This window comes from Homo sapiens, chromosome 7, assembly GCF_000001405.40.
Source record: "Homo sapiens chromosome 7, GRCh38.p14 Primary Assembly".
Taxonomy (NCBI): Eukaryota; Metazoa; Chordata; class Mammalia; order Primates; family Hominidae; genus Homo; species Homo sapiens.
Window position 1 is genome coordinate 69,320,331 of NC_000007.14, and position 23,167 is coordinate 69,343,497.

A 23,167-nucleotide genomic window follows, 5' to 3' on the forward strand; every position below is an offset into this window, starting at 1 on the left:
TTATTGTAATAGTGTATTTTGACCTTTTCAGTATTTTGTATTTTTATTGGATAGCTGTTTCACCTCTTCCCTGGAGGGTTAGCCAGGCTGAAAATGAGAGAGAATGGTAAGAACAACCAATCAAAATACAGAATATTAAAAAGGTCAACACACAAGAGCAAACTACTAATTTGGAAAACACACAAATGCAAAAAGGATGAAAGCACCAAACAGCATGGTGGTCACAGCAAGAGTAAATGGACAAGAGAAGGCTAAGAGGAGCCTCTCAACCCATGGCCCAGCAGTCTGTTCAGCCATTGCATGGAAACAAGGCCCTCATCAGACACCAAAGGGCGGCAGGAATCAATGCAAACTCCAAAGGGCATCACCTGTGCCATTTTTGTTTCTGCCTGGCCAATGAAAATGGCAAGGAGAGGGGTTGAGGTTGAAAGGTCCCAGCTTGGAGATGCCAGGGGACTTTTAAATATGATGTTCAATTGCCAGTTGTGCCAAGAGTATTGGCCAGGCACGGTGGCTCACACCTGTAATCCCAGCACTTTGGGAGGCCGAGGCGGGCTTGAGGTCGGGAGTTCAAGGCCAGCCTGACCAACATGGAGAAACCCCGTCTCTACTAAAAAAAAAAAAAAAATACAAAATTAGCCAGGCGTTGTGGTGCATGCCTATAATTCCAGCTACTCGGGAGGCTGAGGCAGGAGAAGCTCTAGAACCCGGGAGGCGGAGGTTGCAGTGAGCTGAGATCGCAACACTGCACTCCAGCCTGGGCAACAAGAGTGAAACTCCATCTCAAAAAAGAAAAAGAAAACAAAAGGAGTATTACGGACAACCCTCTATCCACAGTCAGATGAACATCTCAGGGGTTTAGAACTGATACTCACCTATTTCTTTTTTCTTTTTAATTTTTTTAGAGAGACAAAATCTGACTGTGTCATCCAAGTTGGAGTGTAGTGCTATGATCATAGCTCACTGCAACCTCAAATTCCTGAGTTCAAGCGATCCTTCCATCTCAGCTTCCTGAGTAGCTGGGACTACAGGCGCACACCACCATGCCTAATTATTTTATTTTTATTTTTATAGAGATAGGGTCTCCCCATCTTACCCAGGTTAGTCTCGAGCTCCTAGCCTCAAATGATCCTCCCACCTCGGCCTCCCAAAGTGCTGGGATTACTGGCATGAGCCCCATGCCCAGCCCTCATCTATTTCTTTGTTGATGATCTCCAGCACAAGAAAGCCCCAAACCTCCTCCACTGACTCTTTCCAGTTGGATTATATAAATTAAAGTATAATAATAAGTGTATCTTGACAATCAACATTAATAGAACCATAGAATTTGAAGCACACTAATTCAAGTGGTCTTTCAGAGCTAGTGCCTTTGAGGTTAGACCCAGTAACTGAAAGCACACTGAACAAGTTACCTGGGTATAATCTCTCACCTACTAAAAACTTATTATTTGTTTTTTGTTGTTTGTTATTTTTTCTTTCTTTTTTTTTTTGAGACAGGCTCTCACTCTGTCACCCAGGCTTGAGTGTAGCGCCGCAATCTCAGCTCACTGCAACCTCTGCCTCCCAGGCTCAAGCAACCCTCCCATCTCAGCCTCCCACGTAGCTGGGACTACAGGTGCACAACACTTTGCCCTGCTAATTTTTTTACTTTTTGTAAAGGCAGGGTCTCACTATATTGCCCAGGCTGGTCTCGATCTCTGGAGCTCAAGTGATCCACCTGGCTCGGCCTCCCAAAGTGTTGGGATTACAGGTGTGAGCCACCGCACCTGGCTAAAGACTTATACTGCATTGGTTGTTAATAACACAGAACAATATGTACAGAAAGGTCCCTGTTATCCTTGGATTTTTGGTATCAGAAAAGGGCCTCTTAAAGAAAATGCACTTAAAACACAGACCAAAATCTCAATGTCAAAAGTAAAAATATTTTGACTGTGACTTCATCTTGTAAAAATAAATGAAAATTCATGAAGCGATGATTATGTTGTATATTAAAAATGTAGGTTAAAACTCCAACCATATTCTTAAAGTCAAAAGGATTTAAAGGTTGACTGGGAAGTTGAGGCACAATTTTTCCAACGAAATTTTATGGTAATATAGATAAATCACCCTTTACAACACCTTTGACACAATCATAAAAAGCATGACTTTTACAAAACATTTAGAGAGCCTTAGGGCTCCTTTTGACGGAGTCTCGCACTGTCGCCTGGACTGGAGTGCAGTGGCACAATCTCGGCTCACTGCAACCTCCACCTCCTGGGTTCAAGCAATCCTCCCACTTCAGCCTCCCAAGTAGCTGTGACTACGGGTGTGCACCACCACACCCAGCTAATTTTTGTATTTTTAATAGAGACAGGGTTTCAGCATGTTGGCCAGGCTGGTCTTGAACCCCAGACCTCAGGTGATCTACCCACCTCAGCCTCCCAAAGTGCTAGATTTAAGGCATGAGCCATCATGCCTGGCCAAAAATATTACCATTTTCTGTGAATGCTGCCACATGCAAAACTTGGGGAGCATTGACTTTGAACCACTCTGGTGGATTGGTGGATTTTCTTTTTTTCTTTGTTTTTGTTTGTTTGTTTGAGACAGGGTCTTGCTCTGTCACCCAGGCTGGAATGCAGTGGCACGATCTCGGCTCACCACAACCTGCACCTCCCAGACTCAAGAGATCCTCCCACTTCAACCTCCCAAGTAGCTGGGACCACAGACGCACATCATCGCACCTGGGTAAATTTTGCATTTTTTGTAGAGACAGGGTCTTGCCATGTTGCCCAGGCTGGTCTCAAACTCCTGAGCTGAAGTGATCCACCCACCTCGGCCTCCCAAAGTGCTGGGATTACAGATGTGAGCCACCGCGCCCAGCACTGGTGGATTTTCTTTGGGCCCATAGACCATCCCCTTGTGACTTGCCCCATCTTAGACCTTCTGAGCTCCTGCTTTGACTCTTAGCAATTTAATTAATTCTAGATAATGGTATTGTTCATCTGCTGTGTGTCAGGCACTCTTCTAATTTTTACACACACATGGCTTTCACATGAGTTACAAGTTCTCTGGCTTTCTTTTGCTTCACCTGCAAAATGGGGGTGTTATGAGTCGAATATTTGTGTCCCCTCCAAAATTCATACATTGAAATCTAATCTCCGATGTGATGGTATGTGGAGGGGAGGCTTTGGGGAGGTAACTAAGTCATGAGAATGAAGCCCTCATGAATGAGACAAGAAGAGGCCAAGCTGGGTGCAGCAGCTCACGCCTGTAATCTCATTGCTTTGGGAGGCTGAGGTGGGAGGATTTCTTGAAGCAAGGAGTTCAAAACCAGCCTGGGCAATATAGTGAGACCCCATCTCTAAAAAAGAATAATTTAAAAATTAGCTGTGCATGGTGGCATGTGCCTTTGATCCCAGCTACTCCGGAGGCTGAGTCAGGAGAATCACTTGAGCCCAGGAGTTCAAAGCTGCAATGAGCTATGATCGCACCACTGCACTCCAGACTGGGTGACAGAGCAAAACCCTGTCTCAAAAGTTTAATTTAAAAAAAAAAAAAAAGAGGCAGGGCGCAGTGGCTTATGCCTGTAATCCCAGCACTTTGGGAGGCCGAGGTGGGGAGATCACCTGAGGTCAGTGGTTTGAGGCTAGCCTAGCCAACATGGTGAAACCCCATCTCTACCAAAAATACAAAACTTAGCTGGGCGTGGTGGTGCATTCCTGTAATTCCAGCTACTTGGGAGGCTGAGGCAGGAGAGTCACTTGAACCGGGCAGGCAGAGGTTGCAGTGAGCTGAGATCACACCATTGCACTCCAGCCTGGGCAACAAGAGTGAAACCATCTCACAAAAAAAAAAAAAAAAAAAGAGAGGGCAGAGAAACAGCTTGCTCTCTTTTAGCCATGTAGGATACAACATGAAGTTGGTCGTCTGTAACCCAGAAGACGACCCTCACCAGAACCTGACCACGCTGGCACCCTGATCTTGGACTTTCAGCCTCCAGAACTGTAAGAAATACATCTCTGTTGTTTCCAAGTCACCCAGTCTGTGGTATTTCTCATAGCAGCTCAAGCTAATTAGAGGAATTAGCACCGGAATTAATGCAGCCACCTCTAAGTACATTCCTTAAGGGCATTTAGAAACAGAACAGTTTCTCTAAAATAATGTTTTCAAACCCTTAACCTGAAAAAGAAGTGTTGGAAGTTCCAGCAGAAACAGAATAAGAGGAGGAAGAGTTGGCACTCGGCTGGGGGAAGCAAGTTTGTGGTAAAATAGAACCCATGAGTGGATGGCTGGAAGCTGCGGAGATGAGCTACTTGGAAAATCAAGCCGAGGGCCGGACACGGTGGCTCATGCCTGAAATCCCAGCACTTTGGGAAACCAAGGTGGGCGGATCACCTGAGGTCAGGAGTTAGAGACCAGCCTGGCCAACATGGTGAAACCCCGTCTCTACTAAAAATACAAAAATTAGCTGGGTGTGGTGGTGCATGCCTGTAATTCCAGCTACCTGGGAGGTTGAGACAGGAGAATCAGTTGAACCCAGGAGGCAGAGGTTGCAGTGAGCCAAGATCACGCCACTGCACTCCAGCCTGGGCAACAGAGTGAGACTCTGTCTCAAAAAAAGAGAAAGAAAATTAAGCCCAACAGTAAGAAATCAACTTCCAGAGAATTTCAGTCCCAGACCTAGGCCCAGAAACATGACTGGGCCTTTCTGAATGGCTCTAACCAAGCACTAATATATATAGTATTTACTCAAGGAAGATGGTTCCAGAGTGACGAATGAGATTTAGTTAGTTGCTGTAACATACAATGTTTCTTGGAGTTTCCAGTTCACCTATGAAAAAATTCATTCTGGCCAAGCGTGGTGGCTCACGCCTATAATCCCAGAACTTGGGGAGGCCGAGGCAGGTGGATCGCCTGAGGTCAGGAGTTCGAGACCAGCCTGGCCAACATGGTGAAACCCCGTCTCTACTAAAAATACAAAAATTAGCCAGGCATGGTGGCCGGCACCTGTAATCCCAGCTATTTGGGAGGCTGAGGCAGGAGAATCACTTGAACCCGGGAGATGGAGGCTGCAGTGAGCCGAGATTGCACCATTGCCTCCAGCCTGGGCGTCACAGTGAGACTCTGACTCAAAAAAAAAAAGAAAGAAAGAAAGAAAAAAGTCATTCTTCTTTTACAATATATGTCTGATTTTTGTAATCTCTCAGGCTACCGTCAAATGACTTCCATTTATTTCAAAAGACATTTCATCTGCCTTGAGCTTTTACCTGCTAGAACTTGGTTCTAGTATCCACTGCTGCTATGTTATAACATGCAGCAAATTATGCACAGAAATGACAGACGAAGGCTCTCATCTTCACGCAAAAGTGGCTTAAAATCCCATGTTCCCCTTTGCAGACGTTGGTAAAACTATCACCAAACTATCACCAAAAACTATCACCAAAAACTATCACCAAAACTATCACAAAAACTATAAACAAAACTATCACCAAAAACTATCACCACTGAGGCCGGGCGTGGTGGCTCAGGCCTGCAACCCCAGTGCTTTGGGAAGCTGAGGCAGGAGTTCAAGACCAGCCTGGCCAACATGGTGAAAACCTGTCTCTACTAAAAACACAAAAATTAGCCGGGCGTGGTGGCAAGGTACCTATAATCCCACCTACTCAGGAGACTGAGGCATGTAAATCACTTGAACCCAAGAGGCGGAGGTTGCAGTGAGCAGAGATCGCACCACTGCACTCCAGCCTGGGCAACAGAGCGAGACTCCGTCTCAAAACTAAAAATAAAAATAAAAAGATGAAAATTAAGAATCTAATCGCTCTTGGTGTTTCATAGAGGCTTTCCTCTTTTTTCCAGGGTAAATCACTTGTGATTATTGTTTCTTTGCCTTGGCTCCTCTGTGTAACAAATCATCAAATCAACTTTTGTTCTAGGAATTTATTTAGTTAATTGATCCTTCCAGGCTCAGAGGTACTGAGCTTGACACCAGAGGCCCTTTTCTCTATAGTAATGTAGCACCTTTCTCTAGAGAGTGCTAAGCATTTGCAAATACCAACTAATTATTCATTGAAGGTATTTCACTGAATTAGAAAGTTGCAAATTATAGAAAAATTGAAATCAACAACTGTTTCTTAATAATTACAGTTCATGAAGAGATTATGCATTTCCATGCATTGGTCATGCTCTAATTACGGTCTGAAGTAACTACTCACTGACTAGCCAATAATTAGTAGCATTATAATTATAGGAGGTTGTTGTTGTTTTGGATTTTTATTTTGAGATGAAATCTGGCTCTGTCTCCCAGGCTGGAGTGCAGTGGTGCTGTCTCAGCTTGCTGCAACCTGGATTCAAGCAATTCTCCTGCCTCGGCCTCCCAAGTAGCTGGGACTACAGGTGTGCACCACCATGCCTGGCTAATTTTTGTATTTTTAGTAGAGACAGCGTTTTACCATGTTGGCCAGGCTGGTCTCAAACTCCTGACCGCAGGTGGTCTGCCTGGCTCAGCCTCCCAAAGTGCTGGAATTACAAGCGTGAGCTGCTGCGCCTGGCCTATAGGAGGTGTTTTGTTTTTTGTTGTTTTTGTTATTGTTGTTGTTGTTGAGATGGAGTCTCACTCTGTAGCCCAGGCTGGAGTGCAATGGTGCGATCTCGGCTCACTGCAACCTCCGCCTCCCGGGTTCAAGCGATTCTCCTGCCTCAGCCTCCCGAGTAGCTGGGATTGCAGTCACACACTGCCACGCCCAGCTAATTTTTTTTGTATTTTAGTAGAGACGGTGTTTCACCATGTTCCCCAGGCTGGTCTCAAACTCCTGAGCTCAGGCAATCCACCCACCTCGGCCTCCCAAAGTGCTAGGATTACAGTCGTGAGCCACCATGCCCAGCCCTTTCATATGTTTTTGAACCCTAGTCCCCGGAGCCCCAAAATCAGAGCATAAACACAATAGGAAATCAATCCATTGCCACTTTATCTGTCTATATTACCATCAATAAATTATGAAGGGGGTCCTTTCTGAAAATCTAAGGGCCCGGGGCATATATTCATGCCAATAGGCTCTTACTTGTACTGTACAACAGATGTCTAAATCTAGACCTATTTTGTCTCGCATTTTGTTCTTATTCCTTTTGTCTCCTTCATTCTGTCTCCTCCCTCTAGTTCCTTCTAAGTGTACTGTCATTAATATTCTTCCTTTCTTTGAAATTCCTCCTTAAAAGATCTCTGTACAAAGATGAAAGATGCAAGAGGAAAATAGTATCACAAAATTGACATGAAATTTGAGATCAGCTGTTCCAGCTGGAGGATGGAAGGAAGAAGGGCCACACATTAAAAGCAGAGATTGTGGCTGGGAATGCTGGCTCACACCTGTAAGCAGTTTGGGAGGCCAAGGCAGGAGGATCGCTTGAGGCCAGGAGTTCAAGACCAGCCTGGGCAACATAGTGAGACCCCCCCCATCTCTACAAAAAATAAAAAATTAGCCAAGCATGGTGGTGTGCACCTGTGGTCCCAGCTACTCAGGAGGCTGAGGTAGGAGAATTGCTTGAGCCCAAGAGGTTGAGGCTGCAGTGAGCCATCATGGGGTGGCTGAGGGACAGAGCAAGACCCTATCTCAAAAAAACAAAAAAAATAGAGGTTGGAGAGAAGGTAACACTAATCTTCTGGCTTCTCCTATCCAGAAGAGCTCTATGTTCTAGCTCTGTCTCCTTCTCACCTAGAAGCAAAGATCACTGAGAATTCTTGAGGACTATGTTTTACTCCTGCCCTACACGGAAAGGTGAGAAGGGAACTCCACCTATTATTTGCTCAGAAAGAATATCTAGAGAATTCTGGGAGGCAGAGGCCAGATAATTGCTTAAGGCCAGAAGTTCAAGACCAGCCTCGACAACATAGTGAGACCATTTCTTAAAAAAAAAAAAAAAAAAAAAAAAAAGTTTTAATTAGCCAGGGTGGGCATGGTGGTGTGTGCCTGTGGTCTCAGCTGCTCGGGAAACTGAAGGAGGAGGATCACTTAAGCCCAGGTGTTCGAGGTTACAGTGAGCTATGATCGTGGCACTGTACTTCAGCCTGGGTGACAGACTAAGACTCTGTCTCTATTTTAAAAAAAGAAAAAAAATCTAGATAATCCTGCATCTGATAGTCTGGTGCCTTAGATATTTCAAAACACCTTTCCACCACAAAACAGTCAGATGATGGGAGAATTACAATAAACATATTGTAAATGCATTGCTGAGCCTACAAGAAGATACGAAAAATCTCCAAGGGCAAAAAAAAAAAAAAAAAATGTTTTATAACACCAGACTTCTAAGCAAACACCAAAGTGGGGTTGTTTGGGGAAAATGCTGACTCTAAGAATCTAGAATTTTGGAGATTAGTAGCCACACCTAAGGGCATAAGGGACTAGGCTTGGAGTCCATGCAAAGTAGAAAAGCAGAACTTAAGAACTGCACATAAAACAGAATATCTTAAAGGACACGTTCTAAGTAAAAGGGAGGGCCACGAAGTAAAAAAGGATATAAAAATATTAACAACCGAGGCTGGGTGCAGTGGCTTACTCCTGTACTCCTAGCACTTTGGGAGGCCAAGGTGGGTGGATCACAAGGTCAGGAGTTCGAGACTAGCCTGGCCAATGTGGTGAAAGCCCATTTCTACTAAAAATACAAAAATTAGCTGGGCGTGGTGTCATATGCCTGTAGTTCCAGCTAGTCGGTAGGCTGAGGCAAGAGAATCACTTGAACCCGGGAGGCGGAGGTTGCAGTGAGCCGAGATCACGCCACTGAACTCTAGCCTGGGCAACAAGAGTAAAACTCCACCTCAAAAAAAAAAAAAAAAAAAAAAAAGTCTATGTTAATGTTTTCTCTGTATTCATTTGGATCAATTCAGAGCAACTGAAGACTATCATTTCACACAGTTTCCTCCCTTTTTTCCTTTCCTCTGAGTCTGCTCAGCCCAGGCCAAAGGAGTGCCTTTGGGGCCTGAGTTTCTTTTTCAGTGCTCTCCCAGACTGGACTATTTCCCATAGGAACATCAACACCTTCAAAATGTGATTACCCCAATTTCTTGAATGTCCAATCTTTCCAGCATTTCAGGGAATTATCAGGAAATACAATACAATAACATGAGGCCCAAATCCACAATATTTAGAAAACTCACTTAATCCCCAAACCAGATATGCTCATTAGAGTAGTTTACAGCCTTAACATTAATTCCCAAGTAGATATCATGTTTCCTAAACCCAATATCCATACATGCGAGATCCAACTTGCTATTATTAGCCATATATAAGAGGTTCATATTCGCTTAGTGAAAGGATTAGCAAAAAAAAATGTAAAAGTGAAACCAACAAGCCAGGTTTCTGTGTGGTTTCTGCTTTTCCAGCCTGTCTATCAACCACACCAGTTGTCCAAAATCATACCAATTGGTATGACTTTGTGCCTGTCCTCCTTTTCTAGATGTATCCCTTTCTCTCTGTAATTCACCAAATCTTCAGGTTTTGTTGTTGTTGCTGTTGTTGTTACGGAGTCTCACTCTGTCTTCTCAGTTCACTGCAACCTCTGCCTCCCGGATTCAAGCAATTCTCCTGCCTCAGCCTCCTGACTAGCTGGGATTACAGGCACATGCCACCACGCCCAGCTAATTTTTATATTTTTAGCAGAGACAGGGTTTCTCCAGGGAGGTCAGTATAAGGGATCAGGTTTGCCTTTTAACATTGCAAATTATTATTGTTTGTTTTAGTGCAAGCTGGGTTAGTCAATGTTGAATGGAAGTCAATCAGTTATTAATTAAATGACTGGGGGTTGGAAATAGCACAGTAGGAAATAAAATGATTAATGTTACTACAGGTAGACCTAGAATTGTTGGGGTAGTAAAAGAGGCGAATAAATTTTCGTTCATTTTAATTCTCGGGGGTTTCATGTTTCTGTGCTTTCATCGTTTTTGGTGTAGGGGGTAGGTGGTAAGTGAAATTTGATACTTTTAACTGGAGAATAGAGTTATAATTATCAGTAGGATAACCATGGACCATGTGGAATGTTGGGAGCAAGCCCCCCAAAATCTGGCCATAAACAAAATCTCTGCAGCACTGTGACATGTTCATAATGGCCCTAACATCCAAGCTGGAAGGTTGTGGGTTTACGGGAACGAGGGCAAGGAACACCTAGCCCGCCCAGGGCAGAAAACCACTTAAAGGCATTCTTAAGCTACAAACAAAAGCCTGAGCGATCTGTGTCTTAAGGGCATGTTCCTGCTGCAGTTAACTAGCCCACCTATTCAATTAATATAGGATAACAATGGACCATGTGGAAGTATCTAGTTGAGGCATTTCACTATAGAGGGGGCTTAGATCTCCTCAGTCTTTAACTTAAAAGGTTGGTGCTAGATTAGCTTTACAGTGATATAGTGTAGATGTTGCTCAGGTTTCAAAGCATTTTAAGGGAACTAATTCTAGGATGATAAGTGTAAAACTGTGGTTGGACCCACAAATTTCTGAGCATTGGCCATAGTAAAGGCCTGGTCTTGTAGCAGTTAAAATGGTTTGATTTAAGCGTCCAGGGATTGCATCTGTTTTGAGGCCCGGTGACGGGATAGTTTGTGAGTGCAGGACGTCTTCAGATGAGATTAATATACGAATAGGGATTTCTGTTGGGAGAATTGTTTGGTTACCAGCTTCAAGGAGTCGAAGTTCTCCTGGTTTTAAGTCTGTTGTTGGAGTCATGTAAGAATCGAAACTTACATCTTCATAGTCTGTATACTCATAGCTTCAGTATCATTGGTGGCCAGTTGTTTTGACAGTGAGGGACGGGCTATTAATTTCATCTGTCAAGTATAGAATACGAAGACAGGGGAGGACAATTAAGATCAGGATAATGGTGGGTAAAATAGCTCACATATTCTCGTTCTCTTGAGCATCTATAGTGCTAGCATGAGTTAATTTTGTTGTCAGCATTAGGGAAATAATATATAGGGCCAGGGAACTAATGAGGAAAAGAATTATAAGAGTGTGGTCATGGAAAGTGAGTAGTTCTTGTATAATAGGGGATGTAGCATCTTGGAGACCTAGCTGAAATAGATGAACTATTAAGATATATGGGGTTTAACCTACGAATTAACTTTGAAAAAGTTATGTAATAATTTTACTAATATCTTTTTTTGTTTTTTGAGATGGAGTCTCACTCTGTCCCCCAGGCTGGAGTGCAGTGGCACCGTCTCGGCTCACTGCAAGCTCCGCCTCCCAGGTTCACGCCATTCTCCTGCCTCAGCCTCCCGAGTAGCTGGGACTACAGGCGCCCGCCACCATGCCCAGCTAATTTTTTGTATTTTTAGTAGAGACGGGGTTTCACCGTGTTAGCCAGGATGGTTTCGATCTCCTGACCTTGTGATCCGCCCACCTCGGCCTCCCAAAGTGCTGGGATTACAGGCGTGAGCCACCGTGCCTGGCTATTTTACTAATATCTTGTAGAGAAAGTCATAGAAGTTATGGGATTGGCTTGAAACCAGTCTCTGGGAGTTCGATTCCTTCCTTTTTCCTCTAGACTTTCACATAAGCTGGTTCCTCAAATGTGTGATAAGTTGGCGGGCAGCTGTAAAGTCACTCTAGGTTAGTAGATGGTTGTTCAATTATTAATACTTCTCGTTTTGAAGCAAAGGCCTCTCAGATTATAAAAATTATTAACATGACTGCTGTTAGTGAGATAAATGAGCCTAGAGACAAGGTAATATTTCATGCAGATATTGCATCAGGATTGTCAGAGTAACATCGAGGTATACCGGAGAGGCCAAAGAAAACTTGTGGGAAGAAAGTTAAATTAACACCTGTAAATATAATAGTGAAGTGGATTTTGGCTTAGGCTGGATTGAGTGTATAGCCTGAAAATAGGGGGAATCTGAGGACTAAGCTGCCTATAATGGCAAACACTGCTCCTATGGATAAGACATAGTGGAAGTGGGCTACAACGTAATATGTGTTGTGTAAGTCAATATCTAGTGATGAGTTAGCTAATACGATGCTGGTCAATCCTCCTACTGTGAAGAGGAAAATAAGCCCTAGGGCTCAGAGTATTGTGGGGGATCATTTGATGTTACCACCATGCAGGGTAGCTAGTCAGCTAAATACTTTAACGCCAGTTGGGATAGCAATAATTATAGTAGCAGATGTGAAGTATGCCCGTGTGTCTATATCTATTCCCACTGTAAATATATGGTGGGCTCATATGATAAACCCTAAGAAGTCAATTGATATTATGGCTCATACTCTGTCCATGTAACCAAATGGCTCCTTTTTTCCAGAATAATATGTTACAACGTGGGAAATTATCCCGAACCCTGGTAGGATGAGGATATAGACCTCAGGGTGACCAAAAAATCAGAATAAATGTTGGTACAAGATAAGGTCACCCCTGCCAGCAGCATCAAAAAAAGAAGTGTTGGCCTGGCACAGTGGCTCATGCCTGTAATCCCAGCACTTTGGGAGGCCGAGGCAGGCGTATCACGAGGTCAGGAGATCGAGACCGTCCTGGCTAACACGGTGAAACCCCATCTCTACTAAAAATGCAAAAAATTAGCCAGGCATGGTGGCAGGCGCCTGTAGCCCCAGCTACTCAGGATGCTGAGGCAGGAGAATCACTTGAACCCAGGAGACGGAGGTTGCAGTGAGCCGAGATCGCTGCCACTGCACTCCAGCCTGGGCGATAGAGTGAGACTCTGTCTCAAAAAAAAAAAAAGAAGTGTTGAGGTTGAGATCAGTTAATAATATAGTAATGCTGGTGGCTAGGACTGGGAGGGATGGAGGGATAGTAGTAGAAGGACTACCGTAATGAGGACGGATCAAACGAAAGGAGGTGTCTGATATTGGGATATTGCTGGGGGGTTTATGTTGATGATTGTGATAATAAAGTTGATGGCCCCTAAGATAGAAGAGACATCTGCCAGGTGGAGCGAGAAGATGGTCAAGTCCACGGAGGCTCCTGCATGCTCTAGGTTCCCTGCTAAAGGGGGATAAACTGCTCAGCCAGTTCCGGTGCCTGCCTCTACCATTGAGGATGCAAGCAGAAGTAGAAAGGATCGGGTGAGAAGTCAGAAACTCATGTTATTTATTCGGAGAAACACCATATCGGGCACACCCACTATCAAGGGAACTAGCCAGTTGCCGAAACTTCCAATTATGATTGGTATAACTATAAAGAAGACGATAACAAATGCGTGGGCGGTAACAATAACATTATAGATTTGATCATCTCCTAGCAGAGTTCCTGGCTGGCTAGGTACTGCTTGAATTAGGAGGCTTAAGGCAGTGCCTATGTGGTTAGTTGAAAATAATCGGCAATTCATGAACATGGGTACAAGGGTAAAATGGCTGAGCAAGCATTAGACTGTAAATCTGAAAACAGAGGTCAAAGGTCTCTTTTTACCAGTCCTGGGGTGATATCTCATATATTGAATTGCAAATTCAAAGGAGCAGCTTCAATCCTCCCCTAAACCGCGGGAGAAGTAGATTGAAGCCAGTTGACTAGAGTATTTAGCTGTTAACTGAATTTTCGTGGGTTTGGTCTCCACCAATCTAGCAAGGGCTTAGCTTAGTTAAAGTGGCTGATTTGCATTCAATCGATGCAGGATAGTCTTGCAATCCCTAGATTTGTTACAGAAATTAAGTATAATTTACTTACTAAGGGCTTTGAAGGCTCTTGGTCTCATGTAACCTAAATTTCCTTTTTTTTTTTTGAGACGGAGTCTCACTCTGTCGCCCAGGATGGAGTGCAGTGGCGCGATCTCAGCTCACTGCAAGCTCCACCTCCCGGGTTCACACCATTCTCCTGCCTCAGCCTCCTGAGTAGCTGGGACAACAGGCACCCGCCACCATGCCCGGCTAATTTTTTTTTTGTATTTTTAGTAGAGACGGGGTTTCACTGTGTTAGCGAGGATGGTCTCGATCTCCTGACCTCGTGATCCGCCCGCCTCGGCCTCCCAAAGTGCTGGGATTACAGGCGTGAGCCACTGCGCCCGGCCGTAACCTAAATTTCTAAGTCATAGTCAGTAGCAGCGGAGAGATAGGTAGGAGGAGGGTGGAAGAGATAATAAGTGAAGATACGAATAGTATAGGTTTTGTGTTTTCAAGCTATCATTTTATTTTCGTGTTACTGGATGTGGGAATAGTTTTATTGGGGTGAAATAAATTAGGCATATATAGAAGTATAGGTTGAGTAAAGCTATAATAGCTATAATAGTTGGGGTAATAAGGCTGTTATTTTTTGTAAATTCTTGAATGATAGCTCATTTAGGCAAAAATCCTGTTAATGGGGATAACATATACTGGTTTCGCCAGGCTGGTCTTGAACTTCTGACCTCAAGTGATCCACCCTTCTCGGCTTCCCAAAGTGCTGGGATTACAGGTGCGAGCCACCGCACCCGGCTTCTGTGAGTTCTTAAGGCTTTTTTTTTTTTTTTTTTCCTGGGCAACATCCCTGTTTCTGTGGCTACTGAATCTTCCTTCCATTCTGGAATGCCTTAGCTTTATCCTGGAACATCTGCCTCCAGGGAAAACTTCCCTCTTTTTCATATTTGCCCCAGCTGGAGAAACGCACTTGAAAGATTTCTGACTTTCAGCTGTTTCCAGCGAATTCCTTAAACTGCTCTCAGCCATAATGTGAGGTCCAAAATCCCATAACTCTTGTCCTGAATTCTCCAGTCTTGACAGCTCAAATTCTACTTTCCCAGGATACAGATTCAGATGACTTTTTGGGTTTTGTTTTGTTTTGTTTTTAATTTTTTTTTTGGAGAAAAGTATCACTCTGTCACCCAGACTAGAGTGCAGTGGCATGATCACAGCTCACTGCAGCCTCAAACGCCTGGGCTCAAGCAATCTTCCTGCCTCAGCCTCCACTGTATCTGGGACCACAGGTGTATGCCACCACATCCAGCTAATTTTTTTGTAGAGATGGGGTCTTGCTATGTTGTCCAGGCTGGTCTCAAACTCCTGGCCTCAAGTGATCCCCCCTCCCTAGGCTCCCCCAAAGCACAAGGATTATAGGCATGAGCCACCATACCTGCCCCACAAGACTTTTTAAACCATCGGCCTGCTTCTAGATGAGAGGTCCTGTTTCTCCCACCCATGTCTGAGATAAACCTGTTTCAGCCTCTCAGCATCTTTCTCTCCTTCCATTCCTCTTCCCAGAGGTCTTTCTAGGCCTAGAAGTTTAAAAACTATTTTAAGCCAATCCCATAAATTGCCTCTGAAGACCTGAGTATTTTCTGCTCACATACCAACAATTCCTGCATTCTCCTCATTCTTTTTTTTTTTTTTTTTTTTTTTTTTGAGATGGAGTTTCGCTCTTGTTGCCCAGGCTGGAGTACAATGCGCGATCTTGGCTCACGACAACCTCCGCTCCCCCAGGTTTAAGTGATTCTCCTGCCTCAGCCTTCCGAGTAGCAGCGATTACAGGCACCCACCATCAGGCCCGGCTAATTTTTGTATTTTTAGCAGAGACAGGGTTTCACCATGTTGGCCAGGCTGGTCTCAAACTCCTGACCTCTGGTGATCCTTCCACCTCAGCCTCTCAAAGTGCTGGGATTACAGGAGTGAGCCACCGCACCCAGCCTCACTTTCCTTTTCAGCCTCCAATGAGCAGACCTGGTTCCTAGCGAAAGAAAATTGTTGTGTGTTGTTGCTGTTGGCTTTCTTCTCAAACACTCACTTTTGGATAATTTCATCAACTGGTTCCATGACTCAGTCTAGGATCACACACCACGTGCCCACGGATCCCTCATCACCATCCTACTTCACCTGTTCTTGTATAAATTCCACCATCTCCTAATGTTTGAGCCCATCTTCTATGTTTTCCTAAGGAACAGCCCCTCCAAATGGGAAAAATGAAACAAGAGAATAAAATGAAATTTGCCTCCATTAATACCAACTCACTCCACAATACAGATGCTAAAACAATTTCACGCAAGAAGTCCACTTATTTGGAAGTCAGCCCTTTCAAGAATCCACTTTTTTCCCCTGCCAAGCCTAGATTAATCAAAAATCAATGCACAAACTCTCTCTCTCTCCCCCGCTCCCTGAGTTTTGCAAATGAAAACCAGAGCTGCCCTTTTTTGTTTTGTTTTGTTTTGAGACAGAGTCTCACTCTTATGGGCCAGGCTGGAGTGCAGTGGCATGGGTCTCAGCTCACTGCAACCTCCGCCTCCTGGGTTCAAGTGATTCTCCTGCCTCAGCCTCTCACGTAGCTGGGATTACAGGCACCTGCCACCACATCCGGCTAATTTTTGTATTTTTAGTAGAGACGGGATTTCACCATGTTGGCCAGGCTGGTCTCAAACTCCTGACCTCAGGTGATCCGCCCACCTCGGCCTCCCAAAGTGCTGGGATTTCAGGTGTGAGCCACTGAGCCACCGAGCCACTGAGCCACTGTGCAGGCCTCAGAGCTGCTCTTAACAAGGCTATACCAAATTCCCTATCTTCTATGCATAAACTCCTCACCTCTGTGCTGAAGGGCAATGCCTGTTAATTATCATAAAGGTAACTTACAATGCCTTTACAAGGGTGGAAAAAATAGATCCTAAATCCTTGACTAGCACTGGCCACGGCCACCATCCACCATCCCCACTGCATTCCCTGGGAATTCCAGGGCTGAGGGTTTTGCTTCAAGTCCCTAATGAGTCACCTAACCTGGTGATCTAGGCTGAGTCCCACATGAGACCCCTCTGGTCTCTTTACCTTGAGGTCCATGAGCAGCCTCTTCATGGCCCCTTCTCCAGGGCCCTGCCACTCGCCTTTTCTAAGGGCAGAGCTGCTTCCCAGCCTGGCTGTCCCAGACTCTATCTTATCATATCATCTGCTTCACATGGCATTGAGAAGAGAACCAGGACACCAAAACAAACCCAGGCAGCAAGCGGGCTTGAATCTTCCTCTTCCCTTGTGTCCTTGGGGTCTAGAGAGGTCATCTTCCACCCACAGCAGAACCACTCCTCCCTGACGTCCCAAATTGCTCTGGAGATAAGACTGTGTGCCCAGCTTACAGGGTTCTCACATGAAGCATTGTGAAAGGAAAATAAATCTTGGGGCCCCCAAATCACTAACTGAAAGGGAAAAGTCAAGCTGGGACCTGCTTAGGGGCAATCTGCCTCCCATTCTATTCAAAGTCACCCCTCTGCTCACTGAGATAGATGCATATCTGATTGCCTTCTTTGGAAAGGCTAGTCAGAAAGTCAGAATGCAACCATTCCTCTCTCCCCTACCTGTGACCTGGAAGTCTTCCTGCCTTTGCTTCAAGTTGTTCCGCCTTTCCAGACCGAACCACTGTACTTCTTACATATATTGATTGCTGTCTCATGTCTTCCTTAAATGTATAAAACTAAACTGTGCCCTGACCACCTCGGGCACATGACGTCAGGACTTTCTGAGGCTGTGTCACAGGCGCACGTCCTCAACCTTGGCAAAATAAACTTTCTTTTTTTTTTTTTTTTTTTTTTTTTGAGCGGAGTCTCGCTCTTTGGCCCAGGCGGGACTGCAGTGGCGCTATCTTGGCTCACTGCAAGCTCCGCCTCCCGGGTTCACGCCATTCTCCTGCCTCAGCCTCCCGAGTAGCTGGGACTACAGGCGCCCGCCACCGTGCTGGGCTAATTTTTTTTGTATTTTTAGTGGAGACGGGGTTTCACCGTGTTAGCCAGGATGGTCCCCATCTCCTGACCTCGTGATCCGCCCTCCTCGGCCTCCCAAAGTGCTGGGATTACAGGCATGAGCCACCGCGCCCGGCGGCAAAATAAACTTTCTAAATTAACTGAGACCTGTCTCAGATTTGGGGGGTTCATGGCACCCAACAGCAAAAATAATGGAATAAAACCCCTGACAGTCTCCCCCTCTCAGGAATTGAAAGGAACTAGAAAGGAGATTTCAGCCACTCGAATCTGCGCAGCTGACTGTTGGTGCTGGTGGTGACATACGGCTGTTTACTGATTTATGGAGTGATAAGTAGCAACGGGATGGAGTCTGACAGGAGTGGGCTATATATATTCCTGAAGCTGTGTTCTCCCAGTGTGGACGCTTGAATCAAGCCATATGCACTGTAGGCTGACTTTGATTCTCAGTAACAACTGTTTAAGAGAGGACAGAGGCAAGGATTCCAGATTTGTTGACTCGTGTTGTTCTTGGGGAGACAGGGGGAGTGAGGGTTCTGTTTCCAGGACTTCCCCTGGGAGGCTGTCTCCAAAGGAACGCAAATCATTCACGGAGGCAGGAGATGTTAGTAGTAGTTTGGAGTTAGACCCAACATATGCCAGGACCTTCAAAGAGGTGTGGGCTGAAACAGAAGGAAGTTTACTTTTTTTTTTTTTACTCATATGCACCCAAAAAAGCCTCCCTCCTCCCAGCTTATAATAAGAACTGACAGCACTCAGATGTGATTCTAACATATTCTGAAAGATTTATAATATCCCGTGAACACAAGAAGAATTTTTAGCAGAGAAATTCCAGAACAGGACCATGATGTTGATCAGCTGAGCAATGATGGATACTTGCATTCTGATGGTTTTTCTTTTTCCCTTTACAGAATCGTATATTCAGACATTTATCCAATAAGTTTTATGGGCTGGGGCTGAGCTAGAGTCTGAGGGTGGGTTGAAGGTAATGGGTTTCAGCAGTGCCCCTCCTCAGAGTACAGGGGTGCTCTGGTCTTCTGAGGGCTCCAGGGCATACATCCCTTCAGATTCTAATTGTTCAAAGAAAGCCCATTCTTCTTGAAGTCAAGAGCTAAACATGGCCAGGGTCAGTGGCTCACACCCATAATCCCAGCATTTTGGGAGGCCGAGGCGGGGGAATCACGAGGTCAGGAGATCGAGACCAACCTGGCGAACACTGTGAAACCCCGTCTGTACTAAAAATACAAAAAAATTAGCCGGGCATGGTGGTGGGCGCCTGTAGTCCCAGCTACTTGGGAGGCTGAGGCAGGAGAATGGCATGAACCCCGGGGGGCGGAGCTTGCAGTGAGCTGAGATCGCACCACTGCACTCCAGCCTGGGCAACAGAGCAAGACTCTGTATCAAAAAAAAAAGAGCCAAACATTACCAAGTTCTTTTAAAGAGCACAAAGGAACATACATCGTTCTAACATAAAGAAACGTGCCCACGAATGTTCATTGCAGCACTATTTAAAATAGCAACATCATGGAATCAACTTAAATGCCCATCGATGATAGACTGGATAAGGAAACTGTGGTACCTATGCACCATGGAATACTATGCAGCCATAAAAAGGAATGAGATCATGTCCTTTGCAGGGACGTGGATGGAGATGGAAGCCATTTCCCTCTGCAAACTAACACAGGAACAGAAAACCTAACACTGCATGTTCTCACTTATAAGTGGGAACTGAATGATAAGAACACATGGACACACGGGGCAGGGGGAGCAACCCACACCGGGTACCTGTTTGTGGAGGGGGGAGAATCAGGAAGAATAGCTAAAGGATGCTGGGTGTAATACCTAGGTAATGGGTTGATCTGTGCAGCAAACCACCATGGCACACGTTTACCTATGTAACAAACCTGCACATCCTGCACATGTACCCAGGAACTTAAAATAAAAGTTGAAGAAAAAAAAAGAATACATGAGTTGGTTACTGCCATTGTAGAATTGCCTCCCACCTCAGCCAAAACTACAGATCATCACGTTTTAACATGAGTAGAGGAATTCTAGTTCAACTACCCACCTAATTGTTGAGTCTCCTCTGCAACATTCCCAGCAGGGCAGCAGAAAGCTGTGCTTGAATGTCTCTGGTGACGGGGAACTTGCTGCCTTTGTAGAAACCCTTCTCAGGTAATCTAGGACTCCCTGGACTCAAGTTGAGCTTAGTTCTTTCTCCCTGCAGCTTTTGCCTGTTGGGTTCTTCCATTTGGAGCCATGTAGAACAAGTCTAATTCCTCTTCCCTGAGATATTAAACAAGTGTCCTAAGTCCTCTGTCTACCTGGCCAGGGACCAGCCATCCTTTGATCAGTTCATCATAGAACCAGCATCAGCTACTGAGGCTTACTGTGCACCATTGCAGCACATTAGATGCTTTACACCATTATTTCATTTAATCCTCATAGCCATTCTTTGAGAATTCTGTGCCCATTTTATGGATAGGAAAACTAAAGATCAAAGAGGTTAAGTAGTTTGCGCAGAGTTACTCTGCAGGTATGGCAGAGTGTGAACTTGAACCCAGGACTGTCCGACTCCAGGGCTGTCAAGTGCTCTCCATCATGGTTGCATATATAGCATGTAGATTTATCCATCAGTCTTTCATTTTCCCTCCCTAAAAGGATATTCACACCTGCCTTGCCATATCCATCTGTTTTGTTTATTTATTTATTTTTTTGAGATGGAGTCTCACTCTGTCACCCAGGCTGGAGTGCAGTGGTGTGATCTTGGCTCACTGCAACCTCCACCTCCTGGATTCAAGTGATTCTCGTGCCTCAGACTCCCAAGTAGCTGGGATTACAGGCATGCACCATCACGCCTAGCTAATTTTTGTTATTTGTGGTAGAGACAGATTTTACCATGTTGGCCAGGCTGGCCTTGAACTCCTGACCTGAGGTGATCTGCCCACCTTGGCCTCCCAAAGTGCTGGGATTACAGGCGTGAGCCACCATGCCCAGCCTGTTTTGTTTCATCATAGCATTTAATTATTGGTAAGTAAGGGACTAGTAGAGTTATAGAGTGGGTACTGATAGTAATCTAGTTGTGTCCCATAGAAGTAGAAGGAGAACTATCACTTAAACTTGTCAATCACCTTTTATTCTGCTTAATAAAAGTTTGAATGCTCCTAGAACAGAACACTGAACTATGCACAAGGGACACAAAGCTGATTACCAATTGATCACTCCTTCAAGGGAGACAAATAAGTAAATGAATAATCCAGAGACACGGGGCGGACCTCTATGCGAAGGGTCCTGTGATCATGGAAAGAAGAGTAGGTCCTACTGGGTGCTGGATTAGAGAAGCAGAAGTCAGAGAAGACTTTACAGAGGCTGGGACTTTCCAGCCCTCTCTTAAGAAGTGAAGCTTTGTAACAGAGAGGTGGAGAGTTAAGTGGGAGGCACCTGAGGCTCATTCCAGAATGAGCGAAGTCATTGTCATGAAGGGAACTGGTATCATCCAAGGTCAAGGAATTTTCTGGTAACACCAATGTATCAGATGCACAGAGGGCAGGTGGTGTAGATGACAAGGCTAAAAATAAGCAGTTGGGACAAGATAGATAAGCTAAGCCTTGAAGTCTTAGCAGGGAGCCAACAAGAGTATTTATGCAACAGAAGCAGAACTACATTTTGGAAAGGTATCTCAGGTGACTTTGCTGTGAACTCTAGAATAAGGTAGGACAGAACCTTTACCAGTAGCCAAGGTCACATTTACTCTTTTTTCAACCATATTGCATAGTTAATTCTCAGCTTTTTTTTTTTTTTTTTTTTTTTTTTTTAGACATAGTCTCACTCTCTCACCCAGGCTGAAGTGCAGCGGCCCTAATCTTGGCTCATTGCAACCTCCACCTCCCAGGATCAAGCCATTCTCATGCCTCAGCCTCCTGAGTAGCTAAGATTACAGGCGCATGCCACCACACCAAGTTAATTTTCATATTTTTAGTGGAAATAGAGTTTTGCCATGTTGGCAAGGCTAGTCTCGAACTCCTGATCTCAAGTGATCTACCCACCTCAGCCTCCCAAAGTTCTGGGATTACAGGTGGGATCCCACCATTTTTTTTGAGACATGGTCTTGGTCTGTCAGCCTGGACAGAGTGCTGCAGTGTGATCATAGCTCCCTGCAGCCTCTAACTTATGGACTCGAGCCATCCTCCTGCCTCAGCCTCCTGAATGGGACTATAAGCATGCACAATCATGCACGGCTAATTTTCTTATATTTTGTAGAAACAGGTCTCACTATGTTGCCCAGGTTGGGCTTGAACTCCTGGCCTCAAGTGATCCTCCTGCCTTGGCCTTTCAAAGTACTGGAAATACAGGCATGAGTCATTGTGCCCAGTCTAACACTCCTTTTCACATGTAATGCCGTTAAGCCGTGTCTCTCCAGCCATGGGCAGTAGGACCTGCACTTATCCCTAATGCATTGCTTTGGTTAAATTTGTCCCCTTCATCCTGCTGTTTACAACTTTCAGGATATTGGTTTTTATCATCCAACATGCTTACCAGGATCCCAGCTTCATGTTGTACAATTATTTAATAAAACTCTTTGTAAGTATTAATGCAAATCACAGATTAGAAAGAAAAAAGTCAGAAGGCAAGGGCAGAGCTCCAAAGCGTGTCACTAGACACTTCCCACTGGATTAGCATTTACTTTTAAATCAATTCCTTTGAAGGGGAGCTCTTTAATCAGTAACTATTTCCATTCACTTGTCCCTTTTTTTGCGAAATACTGTGCTTTCAACATTCCAGATGAAGTTAATCACACAAAACTTGCTCATGGTGGAGCCACGCTGGTTGCTAGTGTCTGCGGCTTCCTTTGCTTAATGCTCACATGCCAGCCCTTAAATCTTTCATTATGCATTCCTTTTTTACAAAAAAAAAGTTGCCGGGCGTGGTGGTGCACGCCTGTAATCCCAGCACTTTGGGAGGCTGAGACAGGCAGATCACGAGGTCAGGAGATTGAGACCATCCTGGCTAATACGGTGAAACCCCGTCTCTACTAAAAATACAAAAAAATTAGCCAGGCGTAGTAGCAGGCGCCTGTAGTCCCAGCTACTCGGGAGGCTGAGGCAGGAGAATGGTGTGAACCTGGGAGGTGGAGCTTGCAGTGAGCCGAGATTGTGCCACTGCAGTCCAGCCTGGGCGACTGAGTGAGACTCCATCTCAAAAAAAAAAAAAAAAGTCAAGGTCTCACTCTGTTGCCCAGGCTGGAGTGCAGTGGTGTGATCATAGCTCACTGCAGCCTCAAATTCCTGGGCTAAAGTGATCCTCCCGCCTTAGCCTCCCAGAGTGTTGAAATTGCACAATTATGCATTCTTGAATGCTATTTAGTCGAGATTCCAGCTTCTTTCTTAGTTGGAAAACCAAACACCAATTGCTTGTCTCCAATTTTCCAAACCACTTATGTTCTTCATAATTCACAAAGGCCACTGTAGCAGCTTGGGTATTCTAGTTTGACAGGTTTGGGGTTTTTTTTCCCCGTAATCTGGGATATAATTTTTCCATCCTAGAATACCACAAATGTCTGTTTCA

General features: G+C 44.9%; 2 pseudogenes, besides 1 other annotated feature; both read right to left on the reverse strand.

Moving 5' to 3' along the window:
- Positions 1,517–1,679: a silencer, noted in NCBI's record as "fragment chr7:68786833-68786995 (GRCh37/hg19 assembly coordinates)". NCBI's record gives its function as "represses an EF-1alpha promoter that drives an FKBP-Casp9 reporter gene in an ReSE screen in HepG2 liver carcinoma cells {active_cell/tissue: HepG2}" and the evidence as "EXISTENCE:reporter gene assay evidence [ECO:0000049][PMID:32094911]".
- On the reverse strand, positions 10,368–11,048 carry MTCO2P25 (MT-CO2 pseudogene 25; annotated as a pseudogene).
- On the reverse strand, positions 11,505–13,303 carry MTCO1P25 (MT-CO1 pseudogene 25; annotated as a pseudogene).